Genomic DNA, 21,660 nt, shown 5'->3' with positions numbered 1-21,660 from the left:
AAGGTATAGTAGAAGTTAATGTACAGAAAGTAATAATTTAGGGTCAGGACCAAGGTGGCCGACTAGAAGGACTGGCATTCAGAGACTCATATGAAAAAAAAAAAAACATAATAAGCATGTGAATCCATCACCAGCAACAAAGGTATCCAAGTTCTGTCATCAAAATTGTCTAGAAGGCTAGTCTATTTCCTACTCATGAAGAGAAGGAAGAGCAGTGTGGTGTGGTGGCCCACCTGAAAGCCACATGGGAAAGAAGAACCCCCTCCCCCCAGCCAAGGGAGGTGGTGAGTGAGCGTGCTACTCAGCCGGGCAATCTGCTTTTTTCACGGAACTGTGCAACCCATGGAAGGGAAGATCCCACTCATGAACCCATGCCACCAAGGGCCTAGCATCCCAACCCCAGAAAGCGCAGATTGTTACAGCCTCTCAGCTGGAATCTGCTTAATCCTAATGACTTCCTGGGGTGAGGGGTGACCAGCACCAACTGCAGCTGCCTGTTGTCTAAGTGGTTTAAGCTCCTTGGGGAAGGGGCAGCCAGCACTGGGACTTGCAACTGCCTAACACACTAAGCTCCCTGGGTGGGGGAAGGGCAGCACCCATTTCTACAGCTCCAGGCTGCACTTTTCACCTGCTGGAGCCAGAAAGGCTGGAAGGTTTGGTCCCAAGACTTGTCCCCACAGCCCAACACACTGGCTGTGGCAGTCTGTGGCCAGAGGGCCTCTTCAGGCCTAACCCTGACCCATCCTTCCTCAGTGGGCTGGGCTTCCTTGCAGGACCTCCAATAACTCCAGCCAGAGGCTCAGGGACAGGTTTTGGATCTCCCTGGGCCTGAGCCCCTAAAGGGAGGAATGGCCACAGTCTCTGCAAAGCAGCAGACTTAGCCTCACCTCCTGGTAGTTCTGAGGAATCTGGGCAGCCCAGAAGAGTGGGTTTCCCCCCAGTGAAGCACACTCTCTCCACCAAAGGACAAAGTGTTTTGTAAAATGGGTCCTGTTCCCCATCCTACCCAACTGGGTGAGACCCTCCAACAGGGTTTGTCGGACACCCTATTCAGGAGTGATCCTACTGGCATCAGGTTGGTGCCCCTCGAGGTCAGAGGTCCCAGAGGAAGGAAAAGGTACCCATCTTTGCTGTTCACCAGGCTCCTTCAGTGACGTCTCCAGGCACGGGAGCAAATCAGCTGAATAGAGCCTGAAGTGAGCCCCCAGCAAACTGCAGCAGCCCTATAGAAGAGGGACCTGACTACTGAAAGAACAACAAACCAGAAGAAAGCAACAACAATAGCATCATCAACAACAACAACAAAAAGCCCCCACAAAAACCCCATCCAAGGATCAGCAACCTCAAAGACCAAAAGTAGACAAATTCACGAAGATGAGAAAGAATCAATGTATAAATGCCAAAAACCCAAAAGGCCAAAGTGTCTCTCCTCCAAATGATCGCAACATCTCTCCATCAAGGGCACAGAAGTGAACAGAGAATCAGATGGATGAATTGACAGAAGTAGGCTTTAGAAGATGGGTAGTAAAAAACTATGATGAGCTAAAGCAGCATGTTCTAACACAATGCAAAGAAGCTAAGAAACTTCATAAAAGGTTAGAGGAATTGCTAACTAGAATAACCTGTTTAGAGAGGAACATAAATGACCTGATGAAGCCGAAAAACACAGCACAAGAACTTCATGAAGCATACATAAGTATCAACAGCCAAATCGACCAAGCAGAAGAAAGGATATAAGAGTTTGAAGACCACCTTACTGAAATAAGACATGCAGACAAGAATAGAGAAAAAAGAATGGAAAGGAATGAAAAAAGCCTCCAAGAAATATGGGACTATGTGAAAAGACCAAACCTATGATTGATTGGAGTACCAGAAGGAGAAGGGAGAATGGAAACAAACTGGAAAACACACTTTGGGATATTATTCAAGAGAACTTCCCCAACCTAGAAAGACAGGCCAACATGAAAATTCAGGAAATACAGAGAACACCACTAAGATACTCTATGAGAAGATCAACCCCAAGACACATAATCGTCAGATTCTCCAAGGTTAAAATGAAGGAAAAACTGTTAAGGGCAGCCAGAGGGAAAGGCCAGATCATCTACAAAGGGAAGCCCATCAGACTAACAGTGAACCTCTCAGCAGAAACTCTATAAGCCAGAAGAGATTGGGGGCCAATATTTAGCACTCTTAAAGAAAATAATTTTCAACCCAGAATTTCATATCCAGCAAAACTAAGCTTCATAAGCGAAGGAGAAATAAAATCCTTTCCAGACAAGCAAATCCTGAGGGATTTTGTTACCACCAGGACTGCCCTGCAGGGGTTCCTGAAAGAAGCACTAAATACAGAAAGGAAAAACTGGTACCAGCCACTGCAAAAACACACCAAAATGTAAAAACCAATGACATTATGGAGAAACTGCATCTACTAGTGTGCAAAATAACCAAATAGCAGCATGATGACAGGATCAAATTCACACATAACAGTACTAACCTTAAATATAAATGGGCTAAATGCCAAAACTTAAAAGACACAGACCAGCAAATTGGATAAGGAGTCAAGACCCATTGGTGTACTGTTTTCAGAAGACCCACCTTACATGCAAAGGCACACACAGGCTCAAAATAAAGGGATAGAGGAAAATTTACCAAGCAAATGGAAAGCAAAAAAAAGCAGGAGTTGCAATCCTAGCCTCTGACAAAACACTTTCAGCCAACAAAGATAAAAAAGACAGAGAAGGGCATTATGTCATGGTATAGGGAATAATTCAATGAGAAGAGCTAACTGTTCTAAATATGTATGTACCCAATACAGGAGCACCCAGATTCATAAAACAAGTTCTTAGACACCTACAAAGAGACCTAGACTCCCACACAATACTAGTGGGAGACTTTAACACCCCAATGTCAGTATTAGATGGATCAATGAGACAGAAAATTAACAAGGATATTCATGACTTGAACTCAGCTCTGGATCAAGTGGACCTAGTAGATGTCTACAGAACTCTCTACCCCAAATCAACAGAATATATATTCTTCTCAGTGCCACATGGCACTTATTCTAAAATCGACCACATAATTGGAAGTAAAACACTCCTCAGCAAATGCAAAAGAATGGAAATCATAAGTCTCTCAGACCACAGTGCAATCAAATTAGAACTCAGGATTAAGAAACTCACTCAAAACCAATTGTGCCACTGCACTCCAGTCTGGGTGACAGAGTGAGACTCCATCTCAAAAAAAAAAAAAAAAAAAAGAAAAGAAAAGAAACTCACTCAAAACCACACAATTTCATGGAAATTGAATATCCTGCTCCTGAATGACTCCTGGGTAAATAATGAAATTAAGGCAGAAATCAAGAAGTTCTTTGAAACCAATGAGAACAAAGAGACAACATACCAGAATCTCTGGGACACAGTTAAAGCAGTGTTAAGAGGGAAATATATAGCAGTAAATGCCCATATTAGAAAGCTAGGAAGATCTCATATCGACAACTTAACATCAGAATTCAAAAATCTAGAGAGGCAAGAGCAAACTAATCCAAAAGCCAGCAGAAGACAAGGAATAACTAAGATCAGAGAAGAACTGAAGGAGATAAAGACACAAAAAGCCCTCCAAAAAATCAATGAGTCCAGGAGCAGGTTTTCTGAAAAAACTTAACAAAATGGATGGACTGCCAGCTAGACTAATAAAGAAGAAGAAGAGAGAAGCATCAGACAGACACAATAAAAAATGATAAAGGGGATACCACCACTGACCCCACAGAAATACAGGCTACCATCAGAGAATGCTGTAAACACCTCTATGCAAATAAACTAGAAAATCTAGAAGAAATGGATAAATTCCTGGATGCATACACCCTACCAAGATTAAACCAGGAAGAAGTCAAATTCCTGAATAAACCAATAACAAGCTCTGAAACAGAGGCAGTAATGAATAGCCTACCAACGAAAAAAAGCCTAGGACCAGACAGATTCACAGGTGAATTCTACCATAAATACAAAGAGGAGCTGGTACCATTACTTCTGAAACTTTTAAAAACAATTGAAAAGGAGAGACTCCTCCCTAACTCATTTTATGAAGCCAGCATCATCCTGATACCAAAACCGGGAAGACACATAACAAAAAAAGAAAACTTCAGGCCAATATCCCTGATGAACATCAGTGCAAAAATTCTCAATAAAATATGGGAAACGGAAACCAGCAGAACATCAAACAACTTATCCACCACGATCAAGTCAGCTTCACCTCTGGGACACAAAGCTGGTTCAACATACACAAATCAATAAACACAATCCATCACATAAACAGAACCAATGACAAAAACCATGATTATTTCAATAGATGCAGAAAAAGCCTCTGATAAAATTCAACATCCCTGCATATTAAAAACTCTCAATAAACCAGGTATTGATGGAACATATCTCAAAATAATAAAAGCTATTTATGACAAGCCCACAGCCAATATCATATTGAATGAGCAAAAGCTGGAAGTACCCTTCAAAAACTGGTGCAAGACAAGGATGCCCAGTCTCACCACTCCTATTCAACATAGTATTGGAAGTTCTGGCCAGGGAAATCAGGCAAGAGAAAGAAATAAAGAGTATTCGAATAGGAACAGAGGAAGTCAAGTTGTCCCTGTTTGCGGACAACATGATTTTGTATTTAGGAAACCCCATCATCTCAGCTCAAAAACTTCTTGAACTGATAAGCAACTTCAGCAAAGTCTCAGGATACAAAATCAATGTGCAAAAATCACAAGCATTCCTCTACCCCAACAATAGGCAAGCAGAAAGCCAAATCATGAATGAATTCCCATTCACAATCTCTAAAAAGAGAATAAAATATATAGCAATACAGCTAACATGGGATGTGAAGGACCTCCTCAAGGAGGACTACAAAGCACTGCTCAAGGAAATGAGAGGACACAAACAAATGGAAAAAACATTCCATCCTCATGGATAGGAAGAATCAATACCGTGAAAATGGCCAAACTCCCCAAAGCAATTTATAGATTCAATGTTATTCCCATCAAACTACCATTGACATTCTTCACAGAATTAGAAAAAACTAGGTTAAATTTCATATGGAATCAAAGAAGACCCTGTATAGCCAAGACAATCCTAAGCAAAAAGAACAAACCTGGAGGCATCATGCTATCTGACTTCAAACTATACTACAAGACTACAGCAACCAAAACAGCAAGGTACTGGTACCAAAACAGACATATAGACCTATGAAGTAGAACAGAGACCTCAGAAATAACATCACACATCTACAACCATCTGATCTTCAACAAATTTGACAAAAACCAGCAATGGGGAAAGGATCTCCTATTCAGTAAATGGTGCTGGGAAAACTTGCTAGCCATATGCAGAAAACTGAAACTGGACCTCTTCCTCACACCTTACACAAAAATTAATTGAAGATGGATTAAATACTTAAATGTAAAACCTAAAACCTTAAAAACCCTAGAAGAAAACCTGGCAATGCCATTCAGGACATTGACATGACAAAAATGCCAAAAGCAATTGCAACAAGAGCCAAAATTGACAAATGGGATCTAATTAACTAAAAAGCTTCTGCACAGCAAAAGAAATTATCATCAGAGTGAACAGGCAATCTACAGAATGGGAGAACACTTTTGCAATCTACCCATCTGAGAAAGGTCTAATATCCAGAATTTACAAGGAACTTAAACATATTTACAAGAAAAAAACAAACAACCCCATCAAAACATGGGGAAAGGATATGAACAGACACTTCTCAAAAGAAGACATCTACGTGGCCATCGAACATATGAAAAAAAGCTCAATATCACTGATCATCAGGGAAATGCAAATCAAAACCACAATGAGATACCATCTCACACCAGTCAAAAATGGCGATTATTAAAATGTCAGGAAACCATAGATGCTGGTAAGGCTGTGAGGAAATAGGAACGCTTTTACACTGTTTGTGGAAATGTAAATTATTTCAACCATCGTGGAATACAGTATGGTGATTCCTCAACGATCTAGAACCAGAAATACCATTTGACCCAGCAATCCCATTACTGGGTATATATCCAAAGGAATATAAATCATTCTACTATACAGACACATGAAGACATATGTTTATTGTTGCACTATTTACAATAGCAAAGACATGGAACCAACCAAAAGCCCATCAATGATAGACTGGATAAGGAAATGTTGTACATATACACCATGCAACACTATACTGCCATAAAAAGGAATGAGATTATGTCTTTGCAGGGACTCGGATGACACTAGAAGCCATCATCATCCTCAGCAACTAACACAGGAACAGAAAACCAAACACAGCATATTCTCATTCATAAGTGAGAGTTGAACCTTGAGAACACATGGACACAGAGAAGGGAACAACACACAACAAGGCCTATTGGAGGGTGTGGGATGACAGGAGGGAACTTAGAGGACGGGCCAGTAGGTGCAGCAAACCACCATGGCACAGGTATACCTATGTAACAAACCTGCACGATCTGCACATGTATCCTGTTTTTTTTTTTTTTTTTTTAGAAGAAATACAGAAAAAAAATGTGGTGTATATATGCAATGGAATACTATGCTGCCATTAAAAATACTGAAATTTTGTCATTTGCAGCAACATGGATGGAACTGAAGGTCACTGTGGTAAGAAAAATAAGCCAAGCACAGAAAGACAAATATCACATGTTCTCACTCACATGTGAGAGCTGAAAAAAATGGATCTCATGAAAACAGAAGGTAGACTGTTTGAGAGGAGGAAAGAATGAGGAGAAGTTGATTAATGGGTACAAATACACGATTTGATAACTTATTTTAGGAACAGATACAATTTTTTCAGTGTAATATCTGCACATATGCATAACAGTAAAAATTCAGAAGCTTTTTATTAAATAAATTGGCACAAACATTTGATTCATTAAGTTTTCTCTAATGGACCTCCCTCTATAGGAATGAAGGCAGCAGTATGTAAATCTATTTGCTGTTTTGTTTTTTGTGTTTAAAAAATATGCTATAAACCTGAATATCTGGTCTGAAGGAGACATAACAGATCCATCCTGTGCAATTATGAGAGTGATTAAAGAATAAGTTTGATAAGCAGATCAATATATGTAAGTAAATTTATATCCATGGAGGAATGCCCATTTCTTTCTATGTAAAATCACTCAAGTTGCAGAATAATATGTATTGTCCATTTTTTTAAGAATATTCTCCACATGTATGCAGATTTTGAGCAAGAAGATAAACATAGTATGCTAATAGGATTATCACAGAGAAGAAAAGACATTATCTTTTTTTAATGTTTTGATGATTGCTTCCAGAAAATTTAGCAAAGATATTTGTGAGTAGGCCAAAAATTAACCCCTTTTATAAATCTAACTTGATTTCTGGTATCAAGGCAGTTGTAGACTTGAAAGCACTTTCCGAATAGTGGAATAGGGACATTTGAAAACCTACTCCTCCCTAAAAGAAATTAGAACACTGACAAATAATTGTCAAAATCTACTTTGTTATTACTCTTGACATTTGTAAAGGCTTATACAAATGCTAGAACAATTTATTCAAAATAAGTGAATACATCTTGGCAAGAACAGTGAGCTTTATGGCATTTTCACTAACTGCATTCTCATTCCTCTCACCTTAGTTCCATAGACTTAAAAATTAGCAAACTCAAAACAGTAACAGCTGTGAAAATCAGCAACCCAGCATACATAGGACAGGGAAGAAGGAGTTTGGAGATCAAGCATTTTCATCATTATAGAACTGTTACTAGTTGATCTCTTTGGCTTTTCCTCATGGAAAAGCTCCTTTTATGAGGCTAGTATTTACTTGCCCTGACTCAGAATTCAAGCATTGAGAAGCCCTATTCATAGGGCATTTATTGAAAACAATTGGAGGCAATTGTTTTTCATAGCTTTCTGATGTGGTGATACCAGTTGAAGCAAATAAGAGGCAAGCCACCAAAACCCTTAAATATCAGGAAAATAAGGAACTTTGAAAAGGTCTAACATATTCCTGGGGATCTAGAAAGTTGCATTAAAAGTCTGTGTGCATACCTAGAAAAGACTTGAAAATGTCATAACATCTCACACTGACTGTTGTTGAGCCTTTCCATAAATAAAAGTTAAGGTTAAAACAGAGTTGTAAACAGCCAAAGATTGAAGTCATCCCCAGCACAAGTAGAGAGCCCATTGGCAGATGGTCGGAAACATATTGATTGAAGTGATTGAAGGAAATCAATATTCCAACCATTAGCTGACACCAAACCATCCCAGTAAATACTTTAGTAGTTACTCATGACCAAAAACACAAACTATACAAAATTAGTCCATGAAAGAAACTAAAAGCAAACAACAACAAAAACAAAACCAAGAAGTAGAAATAACAAAAGCAAAAGGGGAGGGGTATTTGATTTACAATGTTGGCATATTATTTTATTTAAAATGTGCAGTTAAAAATTGGTAGTCAATGGTCGGGCGTGGTGGCTCACACTTGTAATCCCAGAACTTTGGGTGGCCAAGGCAGGTGGATCATGAGGTCAGGAGATCGAGACCATCCTGGCTAACATGGTGAAACCCCATCTCTACTAAAAATAGAAAAAATTAGCCAGGCATGGTGGTGGGTGCCTGTAGTCCCAGCTATGTGGGAGGCTGAGGCAGGAGAATGGCGTGAACCCAGGAGGCAGAGCTTACAGTGAGCCGAGATGGCGCCACTGCACTCCAGCCTGGGTGACAGAGCGAGACTCCATCTCAAAAAAAAACAAAAAACAAAAAAACTGGTACTCAATGAGACAAGAAAGTATGGCCTAAACATATGTGGAAAAATAGTCAACTAAAATTGTTTCTGAGAAGGACTAGATGATGGACTTACTAGAAAAAGACATTGAATGACCTATTATAAATATGTTTAAAGAAGTAAAAGAAACCACATCCAAAGAAATAAAGCAAAGTCTGGGACTGATTTCTCCAAACTGAGATTATTAATAAAGGATTAGCAACTATAAAAAAGTACTAAATAGATTCAGCAGAATGACATGGTAACAACAACAAAAAAAGTACTAAATTGAAGTTTGGTCAAAAACAGTACAATTATTGAAATAAAAATTCACAAGAAGGTGTTGGCAGCAGATTTCAACTGTCAGAATAATGAACCGGTGAACTTAAAGATAGATCCATTGATTATTATCCAGTCTGAGAATAGAAAGAAAAACAAATAAAGAAAAATGAACAGAAACTCAGAGACGTACGGGACACTATGAAGCTTACTAATATGTGCATGATGGATGAGAGGCCAAGAAAAAGAAAACAGAGAATATAGCGGAAAAAATATTTAAAGAATTTCAACTGAAAATTTAAAAATTGGATGAAAAATTCTAATCTACATTTTTGGAAGTTCAAAAAACTCTGATTTGGATAAATTCAAAGAAATTCACACACAAATACATCATAGTCAAACTGTCAAAGGTCAAAGACTGAATGCAAAGAGAAAAAAACACAAAATTTACAGTACACAAGGAGTCTTCAATAAGATGAACAGCTAACTATTCATTAGAAACCATGGAGTCCAGAAGGCAATGGGATGACATATTCAAAGCACCAAAAGAAAAAGACTACCAACTAAAAAGTCTATATTTATTCATTTTATCATTCAAATGTTAAGAAAAAATTACAACCTAAATAAAAAGGGGGAATACTGGACAGGAAGTCAAATCCACAAGAAGAAATAAAAGCACTAGTTAAAGTACATAGGTAAATATAACAGATAATATAAATATACTTGTTTTGTAAGGATTTTCTTTTCCTATCTGATTTAAAAACAACTGTATCAAGCAATAAGGATAAAACTGTGTTGATTGACTTATAATGTAAAAAATGAATTTGTATGTCAATAATAGAACAAAGAGGAGTTTAAGCTTTGACATTAATTTGCTACTAATCCAATTAGATTGTTATAAATTAACATGTAAATTGCAATCCCCTGGACAAAAACTAAGCAAATAACTCAAAACATACTATCAGGCGAAAGAGACTTTAAGACAAATATTATTACTCAGGAAAAGGATGAAATTTATAATGATAAATTTTTAATGTATCAGTAATATACGTTAATTATTAATATAAACATATATACACCTAACAACATAGACTGAAATATATGTGGGAAAATGATAGAATTGAAGGGAGAAATAGACAATTCAGCCCTAATAGTTGGATATTTTGATCACCTTCTTTCAATAATGAATAAAACAACTAAGAGGAAGATCAATACAGAAATAGAGGACTTGAACAAAACTAGAAACTATCCAGACTTAAACAGACATCTATAAAACACTCCACCTAAAAACATCAAACATTATTTTCCAGTTCACACAGAACATTATCCAGGATAGATTGCATATTAGGACATAAATCAAACATTTATGCATTTAAAAATATTGAAATCATACAAAGTATATTTTCTGAACACAATGAAATGAAATTTTAGAAATCATTAACTAAAGGACATTTAGGAAATTCACAAATATATGTAAGTAAAAAACAAACAAACAACAAACAAAACCCACACTGTTAAATAACAAAGGAGTCAAAGGAAAAAAATTCACAAGGGGAATTAGGAAATCATTTCAGATCAATTAACAGAAAAAACAACGTACCAACAATTATGAAATTCAGCTATTGCTGTGCTTAGTAAAGTATTAATAGGCACAAATGCCTATATTAAAAAAGAAGAAATATCTCAAATCAAAACCTAAACATATACCTTAAGAAAGTGGAGAAATAAGAGCAAACTAAATAAGCAGAAGAAAAGAAAATAATAAAGATTAGATTGGAAAAAATAGTAGAGAACTAAAAATATAGAGAAACTCAACAAAACAAAACTTTAGCTCATTAAAAAGATCGACCAAATTGAAAAATTTTTAACTAGACTAACCATGAATACAGAAGTTCAAATTGCTAGCCAGAAATGAAAGAGGAGATATCACTTCCAAACTTAGAGGAAAATAAGAAGAATAAGGAATGCTATGAACAACTGTTGTTAGCAAATTAAATAATCTTAATGAAATGGACAAATTCTTAAAAGGGTACAAACTATAAAATCTGACTTAAGAAGAAATAAAATATCTGAATATATATAGCAAATAAATAAAATCAGTTTAGTAATTTTAAAACCTCCTACAATAAAAGACCAAGCCCAGATGACATCACTGATAAAATCTACCAAATGTTTAAAGATGAATTAATACCAGTCCTTTGTAAATCTTCCAAAAAATAAAGGAAGAGGAAGAATCACTTATTGACTCAAAGTGAGACCAGTGTTATTCTGATACATAACCAAGCAAGAAAGACCTCACAAGGAAAAGCAAAACAAACATGAACACAAAGCTACGAACCAATATTCCTTCTGAACATAGACATACAAAATACAACTCAACAAAATAGTAAGAAACCAAATCTAGCAACATATAACTAGGATTGTACAACATAAACATTTTTTACTTATTGTATAAATTTATGGTTGTCTTAATATCCAAAAATTAATCGATGTAATACATCATATCAATAGACTAAAGGACAAATATAAATAACTTATAATCTCCATGATAGTAGAAAAAGCATTTGGCAAAAAGTCTCACATTCTTTCATAAGAAAGACTGTCAGAAAACTAGGAATAAAAAAGAACTTTCACACACTCATAAGGAGCGTTTATGAAAAACCAACACCATTATAATGAATGATGCAAGATAGAGCGCTTTCCCCCTAAAATAAAAAACAGACAACATACCTGTTCTTGCTTCTTATATTCAACATTGCAGTATAGGTTCTAGCTAGGACAATCAGTTAAGAAAGAAATAAAAGACAAGATTGAAAATGAAAAAGTAAAACCATCTCTATTTGAAGATGATATTATCTTGCAAAAATACCAAAACACACAAATGCACACCCACACATACCCTACTGGAACGAATTTAAAAGTTCAGTATGATTGCACGATATGAGGCCTATATACAAAAATCAGTCATATTTCTATACACTAGCAATGAACAATCTGAAAATGAAATTAAGAAAAGAATTCCAGGCTGGGCACAGTGGCTTATGCCTGTAATCCCAGCACTGTGGGAGGCTGAGGTGGATGAATTGCTTGAACCCAGGAGTTCGAGACCAGTCTGGAAAACATGGTGAAACTCCATCTTTACCAAAAGAAAAGAAAATTAAAAATTACAAAAATTAGCTGGGCGTGGTGGTGCATGTCTGTAGTCCCAGCTATTCAGGAGGCTGAGGCTGGAGAATCACTTAAGCCCAGGAGGCAAAGGCTGCAGTGGGCCAAGATCACATCCACTGCTCTCCAGCTGGGGTAATAAAGTGAGACCCTGTCTCAAAATAATAATAATAATAATAATAATAATAATAATAATAATAATAATAATAATTCCATTGAGGACTTTCAACTTTCAGTCCAAAAGGTAAAAAGCTTGAAAGCTGTCATCCATTTCCTGTCCTCACAACAAGAAAGAAGCTAAAAAAAAAAAAACCTGAAAATAGATAACTTTTCTTAGATATATCAGAGAATTTAGGTCACAGGGCAAACAACCATTATACAAAACTAGAGACACATTTGAATACATAGAGCTTACAAGGAACAACGGAAGCCACTATTGGAGACAACAACAGTCATAAATCATTAAAAATGAACTTACTCACTACTGGAGACTGAGCGTGGACTATAATGAGAAATTAAAATTCCTCTTGTCCCAGCTTTAGCGGGAGCCCTCACACACTTTCATAACTTTTACCTTCAGGAGTCCCACCAGGGGTCTCAGAGTGAAGATGGGAGAAAAACCTCTGGTGTTGTATTTTGAAATATACCCAGAGTGCTCTGTTCTTAAGAAAGGTCTGCCCTCAATGGAAATAATACTACCTGAGCCGAAAGGCTAGAGTGGGCTGGAGTTGGGTATTTCCTTTGTCTGAGGTTGGTTAGACTCTAGCAAAACCCGTTTTACCTTAGAGGAAGGTGGAAAGCCAAGAATTATTTGTGATGGTCACATCTCAGGGACACATGTTCACTAAAAGGTTCAGATCTAATCACAGGTTTGTAAAATGCTTCCCCTCTCACGGCAGCTTATCACCACATCAATAGGACTCTTCTATAATAACAGGCTAGAACAAAAAACTACAAGGCTAATGAACTATTTAAGAAGGAGTCTCTAGGAGAACCCAAAGACAACAGGCAAGACTCAAACACAACATTAGATAAAAATTTAGTGTCTGAAATCATAACTACAACAAACAGTAAACACATTTGCTTGGCAAATGAACATAAAATCTCAATCAAAGACTAATGTTCTCAGTTCTTATTATCCAATACACCGTGTGTGGCTTTCAACAAAATAATTACAAGTCACACCAAAAGAAAACAAATAAACAAATAAAAAACACAGCCTGAAGAGACAAAGCATGCGTTAAAACAAGACTTAGATATAATACACATTTTGGAATTAGCAGAACAGAAATTTAAAATAACTATGATTAATTTGCTAAGAGTTCTAATGGGGAAAAGAAAAGGACAACATACAAAAGCAGATGGGTAATGCAAGCAGAGAAATGGAAACTCTAAAAAAAAAACCTCCATTTAAAATAGCATTACAAATAAAATACTTAAAAACAAACTTAAGAAAAACAATACAAGTCTTCCATTATGCAACAAACATTGTTGAAAAAATTAAGAAAGCCTAAATATTTGAAATGAGACCCAATGTAATGAATCAGAAGACTTAATATTGTTATAATATCTATAGTCCCCAAGTTGATGAGCAGATTCAATGTGATCCCTACTGTAACCCCAGCTGGCCTTTTTGCCAAAATTGAAAAGTTAATCCTAAGTTCGTAGAGAATTTCAAGATTCCAGAATAACCAAACAATCTTGAGAAAGAACAAAGCAGAGGACCCACACTTCATAATTTCAATACTTGTTACAAACTTGCAGTAATCAACACAGCAATCAAGACCTATGGAATTTGTATTTCAATATACATATAGATCAATGGAATAGATTTGAGAGTCTAGAAATAAATCTTTGCATTTATGGTCAATTGATTTTCTATATGGGTGCTAAGACAATTCAGTGGAGGAAAGAATTTTTTTTTAAATAAACTGCTGAGACAACTAGATACCCACATCCAAAAGAATAAATTTGGAACCTGACCTCATACCATATGAAGAGTTAACTCAAAATAGATCATAGACCTAAATGTAAGAGCTAAAACTATAAAAATTTTAAAAGAAGCATAGGAGTAAATCTTTGTGTCCTCGAGTTAGGTGATAGTTTACTAGAAATAACAACAAAAGGTCAGCAACAATAAAAAAGAAATGTGTAAATTTAACTTTGTCAAAATTAACTCTTTTGCACTTTAAAGGATACAATTTTATAAAATGAAAAGATAATTCACAAAATGGATAAATATTTGGATGTCATATGCCTCAAAAGGGATTTGTATCCTGAACATATGAAAATGTCATATAATAATGATAAAAACACAAATCACCCAATTTTTAAATAGGAAAATAATTTGAAAAATATTACTCCAAAAATGCATAAATGGCCAATAAGCATACAAAAAGTGCTCATTATCATTCATCAAGAAATGCACATCAAAACCTCAATGAGGTGCCACTTCACATCCAATAGGATGATTAATATCAAAAAAGGCAGACAATAATAACTGTGGATGAAGATATAGAGAAATTGGTCCCCTCACATTTTTGCTGGTGGGATTTAAAATGCTAGAGCCACTTTGCAAAACAGAAAACAGTTTGGCAGTTACTGAAGATGTTAAATGCAGAATTACCATGTGATCCAGCAATTCCATCCCTAGGGTACATGCTCAAAAGAAGTGAAAAAATATGTCCATACAAAAACTTTTGGGCAAATGTCTATAGAAGCATTAGTCACCATAGCTAAAATGTAGATACAAGCCAAATGTCCATCAGCTGATGAATGAATAAAGAAAATCTGATATACCCATACAATGGAATATTATTCACTCATAAAAGGCTGAAGTACTTCATGCTACAACACGGATAAACTTTGAAAGAATTTTGTTAATTTAAAGAAGCCAGGGACAAATGATCACATGTTGTAGGATTCAATTTGTATGAAATGTCCATACTAGACAAATACATACGTAGATTAGTGGTTGTCAGGTTATGGAAAATGGGCGAATGTAGACTAACAGCTAATGGTATGAGGTTTCTTTCTGAGTGATGAAAATATGCTAAAATTAAATAGTGGCGGTGATTGCACTGCTATGTGAATATCAACACCTTTAAATGACCCACTTTAAAAGGGGGATTACATAGTATGTGAATTGTTTCTCAATAAAGCTCTTTAAAAAATAGACTTAAAAGTGTCACCATAATTTCATGAAACTTTCATAATGGTAATTACTGTTTCCTTGTGTTTCCCTCCACATATTGGATTCAGAAAAAAAAATTGCCATTTTGATCAAATTAAGAACACTTTAAATCTTCACTCTAAGTTTCAGCTGAATCAAGTGATTGATCAATTAAGGTTTCAACTCCTTCCAGAATCAGCCAAAGATAGCAAGATTGCATTAACATATAACTCATTCTAAATTCACTTTCAACAACAATGTAGTGGATCAGTTCTCTTTCTTCAATCATTAGATATATATAATTATAACGATAATATATACAAAATCATTTTAAGCTAACATGCTAGTATAATACAGATTATCTGTTTGATGGACTATGGTGGTTTATTAATAAAATATTTTCCTAAAACAGTTGAAATTATGATTATATTAAATACAATGCTACATTGAAACTAAGTTTCAATTTGTTTTAGACATCAGAGAAATAATCTTAAGTGGCAAGCCAACATGTTTTTCTAGAAATTGTTTTTAGTCTATAGTCTAATTTATTTGAACAAAATTCTATTGATGTGCACAAACTCTTTGGAATTAAGAAGTTAATTCAATAATCAAAAGTCACCTTAGCTTGGCACTAAATGTTGCAAAACTATATGGGGTAAGTAACAGAAAGGAAAATGTATTTAGGTATTACATTTCTCTTCAAATTACTAAAAACTCATATATCATTTATATAATGCATATACTCAATGTAGTTATGGCAGGAAACCTACTTATACACTGAGCATGCCACTCTCAACAAGTTCTGACAGCAAATCTCCCATTTTTAGTTGACAACTGTTACCCAGGCATAAAATATAATTTACCACATAGCAAAGCTGCCTTAATCATCTAGTTCTTCCCAAAACAAAACAAGTTTGTATGTATACTATTTCCACAATTCTGACCACTGACATAGCTAAATTTCTATTTGATAAACAGTAATTCAAAACAAAACAAAACAAAAAACAATGTTGTATGTTACCAGAAGCTTGGCAAACAACACTTCAGGCACTGCTTGCAATTTCTCTGGCTCTGAGGCAGTAAGAAGCATTGCTGATAATAATCAATACATAAAAGATAATTTTTTTTTGCTAACATCCATACATTTTGCAAAGTGTGTAGAAAAGGATACTACAATTATAAAGTTCTCTGAGAAAAATTAACAGGGGCTTTCCCAGTCAGAGAGATTTGAGAATCATTGCACATTAGATTCCATTCTTGAAAGGTCATTGTGCATATTAATACATTACAAATTCTGGAATCTTGTTTAAATTTGATCAACCCAGATTTTATCAAACATATCTCACAACATGTACTTTTCTCTGTTTTCTCTACATTTTCTTATCCCTTTCCCCAAACACACATATAAGCATCTTTTAATATCCTGAGCTTATGTCTGATTTCTGGTCCAGGATAGGCAAAAGTAAACTTCTGTTGATTGAATGAACAACCACATCCACAAAGCTTAAACAAGTGTATTGAAATCTGCACAATCAATGGATGAGGCCAAGGTGAAGCTCCTCTGTATCACTGTTGCTTAACTAAACGATCATATATCACATGTAAATTATTACATTCTCAAAAGCAAATGTGGTCGAAGTTCCTTCTGGTTCTCAAGCTAACAATGCAGGCACTACTTGATGGGTTTATTTTCCCTGGACAACTTGAAGTTGAACCGAAAGTAGTTGAAATGACACCCAGAAGGGACTGTTTTCAAGGCAGTATTACATGGTTTTTTTCTAGAAAGTTTAAAGGTGCTTTAAAGAGAGAAAGGGGTCCTTTTCAAAAGCCATGTGAATACTACAAACCATTAATTACAGCTACTCAGGAACTGAACTAGAATGAGCTTGCTCTCACTAATTTAAAGGAGCAAGCAGATGCAGAACTGGGGCTTAGCCCAGTTCTTAATACCATTCTCACTATGGCCACGAAAAGAAAAAAATAAATGCAAGGATAAAACTTCTCTAAGCAGAGCTGAATAAGCACTAGAGAAGCATTTGGGAAATTCATTTTTTACAGATGAACAGCAACCAACAATTCAGCCCTACATCTGCTGGGGGTGATCCAGATCTCTTACATAATAGACTTTTTTTTTGGTAACTGAGTGCAAAGTCTTTAATAATTTTTCATAAGCTTCCATGTGTCATGCTAAGAGTACATCATTGTTGCCGCATAGACTTTTTCTCTATTCCCTTCCATGTAATATTTAACAAAACAAGTGTTAACTTATCCCAACATAGCACTCATTATCTCCCAAATTACTAAAAACTCATTATCTCCCAAGATGTTTCCCAAATTCTGCATGTGTCATACAAAGATCAAAAGCATGATGAATTGGAAAACCAAGCATGATGTTATGCTGGGCTTCAAGCTTTGGAAAATGACAACAGATATGAGTCACAGGTGTTAATACTTATTTATTTTATTTGCCTAGTGAAGGTTCACTCATAGATATCTTATTTAACAGTCAGTAATATTCACATTATTGCTATACAGTTGTATGAGTTTTAGCCCATATGAAGATTCTTGCAACCACCAGCACAAACAGATACTGATGATCCCAGCACCATAAAGAAATGCCTCATGCTGCCCCTGTAATTAACACACCCTTCTGTCACTGCCAATCCCTGGCAATCTCCAATCTGTCCCTATACTTTTACATTTTCAGAATGTCATAAATGGAATTACAAAGTATTTAATCTAGCTACAGTCACTTATACTGATGCCTCTACAGATTTATCCAGATTGCACATATCAATAATTTTTCCCTTTTTATTGTCCATTTTATGCATATACCATAGTTTTTGTCCATTCTCCCACTGAAGGAAATTTGGGTTGTTTCCAGTTCTTGGCAATGGTACTTTTCTAAAAAATTATTAAGCAGGTTTATACATGAACATCAATTTTATTTCTTTAGGATAATTTCCTGGATGTGGGATGATGAGGTCACATGGAAATTGTATGTTTAACTGTGTATTAAACAGCCAAAATGTGTTCCAGAGCAGCTTTGCCATTTTATATAATTTGGATTTGAGCAGACAAAGCTACAGTATTCTGGGAGGAAAAGATACTTCTTAGGTAGTTTACATAAGAAGAAATAATTTTTTTACAGCAGAAGATGAGAAAGGGAATATTAGATAAATCCAGCTCTGTGTATCTGAAATCCAATTCACTTGGTTCATTTGTTCTTTGAAGATAAATACAGTATAAGATAAAAATTGATGAGCATTAAAATGTAGTTATATATTCTGTAACTACAGTTTAGTGTGAAATCATTGCATCCCTAATTATGACTTCTGTTCTGCTTAGAACAGCTGGTATTACTGAATGTTTCAAATTGTGCCACAGACTTAGTGTGACAAGATCTCTGAGGATTGTTTCCTTCCATTACCAGGACACAATGGCTAATTGAAGCACGAAAAACAAATGCACAGAACAAGCCAGAAACCCAGACTGAGCTATAGGCCAACTGCAGCCAGATATTTCAAAAGGAAGTACTCTACCAGGTCCTTCAGGGAGAGCGGCAGAAATGAGAAAAGATTTGCAGGCCATTTACTTATAAAGGAAGAAAAATATGTAGAGAGACTGAGTCCTTGATGACTTCTCTTGAGTTTCTGGATCACACCTTCCTAGAGGAACAATATAGACCAATACATCCTGTGAGTATATTAGTGTCTCTGAGCTGAATTTCTGTCACTTACCATATAAACTGCTTCACACAAATGCTCTATTACAACTCTGTAAACAAACCTAAAAGAATACAAATATGGAGGAAAAACAGGGTCAATATGTAAAAGACTGAAAATAAACTCTAAAAGATCATGTCACTGTGTTTGGATAGCAGAACCACATGACTGTTTTCTGTTTGTAAAAATGTCTATTCCTACGTTTTATTTGATGAACTTTTAGAGACATGTATATAAGAATATATGATTTCAAAATACATTATTTCCACAAAAGGCTTGCACTGTTTTAAGAACATATAAATCTGCAATGAAAGAATACTCCATTAACAAATCACACACATTTTGTTGTGCGCTAATCACTTTTTGGGCGGGAGAAAAAAAAGTCAAATAATTTAATGGAAAGACTTTAGTAACTTGCAAAAGTACAGAAACATTTAGATTTTTCTAAGTATCAGAGACAACCTTTATAAAACGAGGTTGTGTTGTGTGGCTCTCAGTTACTGTTTTAGACAAGTGATCAAGAAAACCTGTGTTGTTCCAAACCTAAGCAAGACCTTGCATTTGAAAGTGCAGATAGTTATTTCCGGAATGTTTAAACTCTGCCTTTCAATTATCCAAATATGTTCTCTTTCAATTCTTGGTGGCTCAATTTGCCTTAAATTAGGAAAAGTATATTAAAATCTAAGAATCTTTTCTGAATTTATGATGTCATTTCCATTAATGGATTTCCATTTTGTGAAAATAGTTAATTTCACTAAGCTCAGGGTAGCTCAGCAGTGGAAACTTGTCTAGTTTAAGATGTAATGCTTGTATTTCCTTATAAACATCAGTAGCGCTCTTGGTTTATCCCTGTAGGGTTAAGTTTAATGTGTTTCACTAATCATATCCATCCCAGTTACAATTTTGAGGGTTTGGTTTTTCAGAAACCATTTATTACAAAATGTCTTTTTCATCTGAAGAAGTAGCTCAGTAAATCTTCAGGAAAAGTTTGTGAGGCTTAAATATCTGACTGATTTATGTTATTTTTAAGTATTCTGTAATCCAGTGCTGAGGGAGCCTGAGGTGCGAGGATTGCCTAAGACCAGGAGTTTGAGACCAGCTTAGGCAACATAGGGAGACTCTGTCTCCAAAAAAAAAAGAAAAAAATATTAGCAGGGCATGGTGGCATGTATTGTACTAGCTACTCAGGAGGCTGAGGAGGCAGGATTGCTTGAGCCCTGGAATTTGAGGCTACAGTAAGCTATGATCAAACTGCTGCACTCCAGCCTAGGCAACAGAGTGAGATCCTGCCTTTAATAAATAAATAAATAAAAGTCTTTACACTGGAGGGTTTTTCCCCAACAAATAACATAATGTCATAACTTCTTCCACCAAGGACATTAATCTGCAAAGTTCAAATGTTCCCAGTGAATGATGCAAACATAGCATCTTATACCTTCTTACCTCCTCTTTTCATTTGCATAAACTGGTTAATTTGCATAAACATTTGCATAAACTGGTTAATTTGCATAAACATTTGCATAAACTGGTTAATTTTTTATTACATCTTTGGAACATAACATCAACTTTTCCACATTTACACTGAGTTTCTCAAATATCTACCTTGTGGGTGATTTGATCTTACTAGTTCACATGTAGCAGTTAATTAAATTCAAAAAATACCATCCCCAAATCTGGTTGTTCAACACCTCAGTCAGTCCCCACCTGGAGAGAAGGTGAACTGCCTTTCTCCCTAAACTTACATTTTAAACACTGGTACTATAGGAGCTGACAGTTATTTCCCTCAAATAGTTCCTTCTGGAAAGGTGCAGCATGGCACATTTGGCCCTAAAATGTTTCAATCACTAAAATGGCAAATTCTGATAGCAATTTAAAACCTTCTTTCCAATTCAAAGCCTTCACTTCAAGGTGCTCTGGTTAAATTGAAATTTCCTTTCACAAAATAACACTAACTATTCTAGTCTGAATTACCATCATCACTCATTGAGCTTTCTCATTTCACCTAACCAGTGTGCCAGCTCCCCTTCTGTCCTCTTTCTGATCAGCTCTTAAGAGCCAGACTGATGTTACAAGGCCAGTGCACACATGCAGATGTGCCTGGGAGCCCGCTCTCTAGCTCCTTCCCTTGCTCGCTGAGGCTGGGCTTCGCGGTGATAATAAGCAGGAAACCTGGAGCCTCATTGTGTTCATTTGTATTCAGAATCCACCATTTCGCTGACTGTGAACATTCTGGGAGTTACTTCACCGCCCCGTGCCTCAGTTTCCCCTTCTGTAAAATTGGAAATCTAATAGCAACCACCTTAGAATACTGTGGACAATAGCATAAGTTAATGTAATGAAAGCACCAAAGAACTTCTGGCATGTAAGAAGTACTCAATAAGTGGTCCTATCAGTATTATTTATAGAATGACATAAACACTGTTCACTGTGCCCTACAGTCCCTACCATTACCCAAGGAAACAGGCTTATCTCTGCTGCACTGGCCTTGCAGGGCCTAAGTTTCACTATGCTCCTTCTTCATACATAATTCCCCTGG

The 21,660-nt window shown here is 36.0% G+C and overlaps 1 protein-coding gene across 25 annotated transcripts in view; it reads right to left on the bottom strand.

Annotated features, from left to right (window-relative positions):
* NRG3 (neuregulin 3) overlaps nucleotides 1-21,660 on the bottom strand; it is a 1,111,986-nt gene that overhangs the window by 548,144 nt on the left and 542,182 nt on the right. The window contains exon 3 of one of the 25 annotated variants that reach the window (NM_001370083.1): nucleotides 17,843-19,067. The exons of the other annotated variants lie outside the window; for them this stretch is intronic. Within the exon in view, the coding sequence (NP_001357012.1) occupies nucleotides 19,058-19,067 (10 nt within the window). The 3' untranslated portion in view covers nucleotides 17,843-19,057. Of the gene's footprint in view, nucleotides 1-17,842; nucleotides 19,068-21,660 lie in introns of those variants that run through there. 25 annotated transcript variants of the gene reach the window in all.

This window comes from Homo sapiens, chromosome 10 (assembly GCF_000001405.40).
Source record: "Homo sapiens chromosome 10, GRCh38.p14 Primary Assembly".
In the NCBI taxonomy this organism is placed as follows: domain Eukaryota; kingdom Metazoa; phylum Chordata; class Mammalia; order Primates; family Hominidae; genus Homo; species Homo sapiens.
This window is presented reverse-complemented; position numbering and strand designations above follow the sequence as displayed.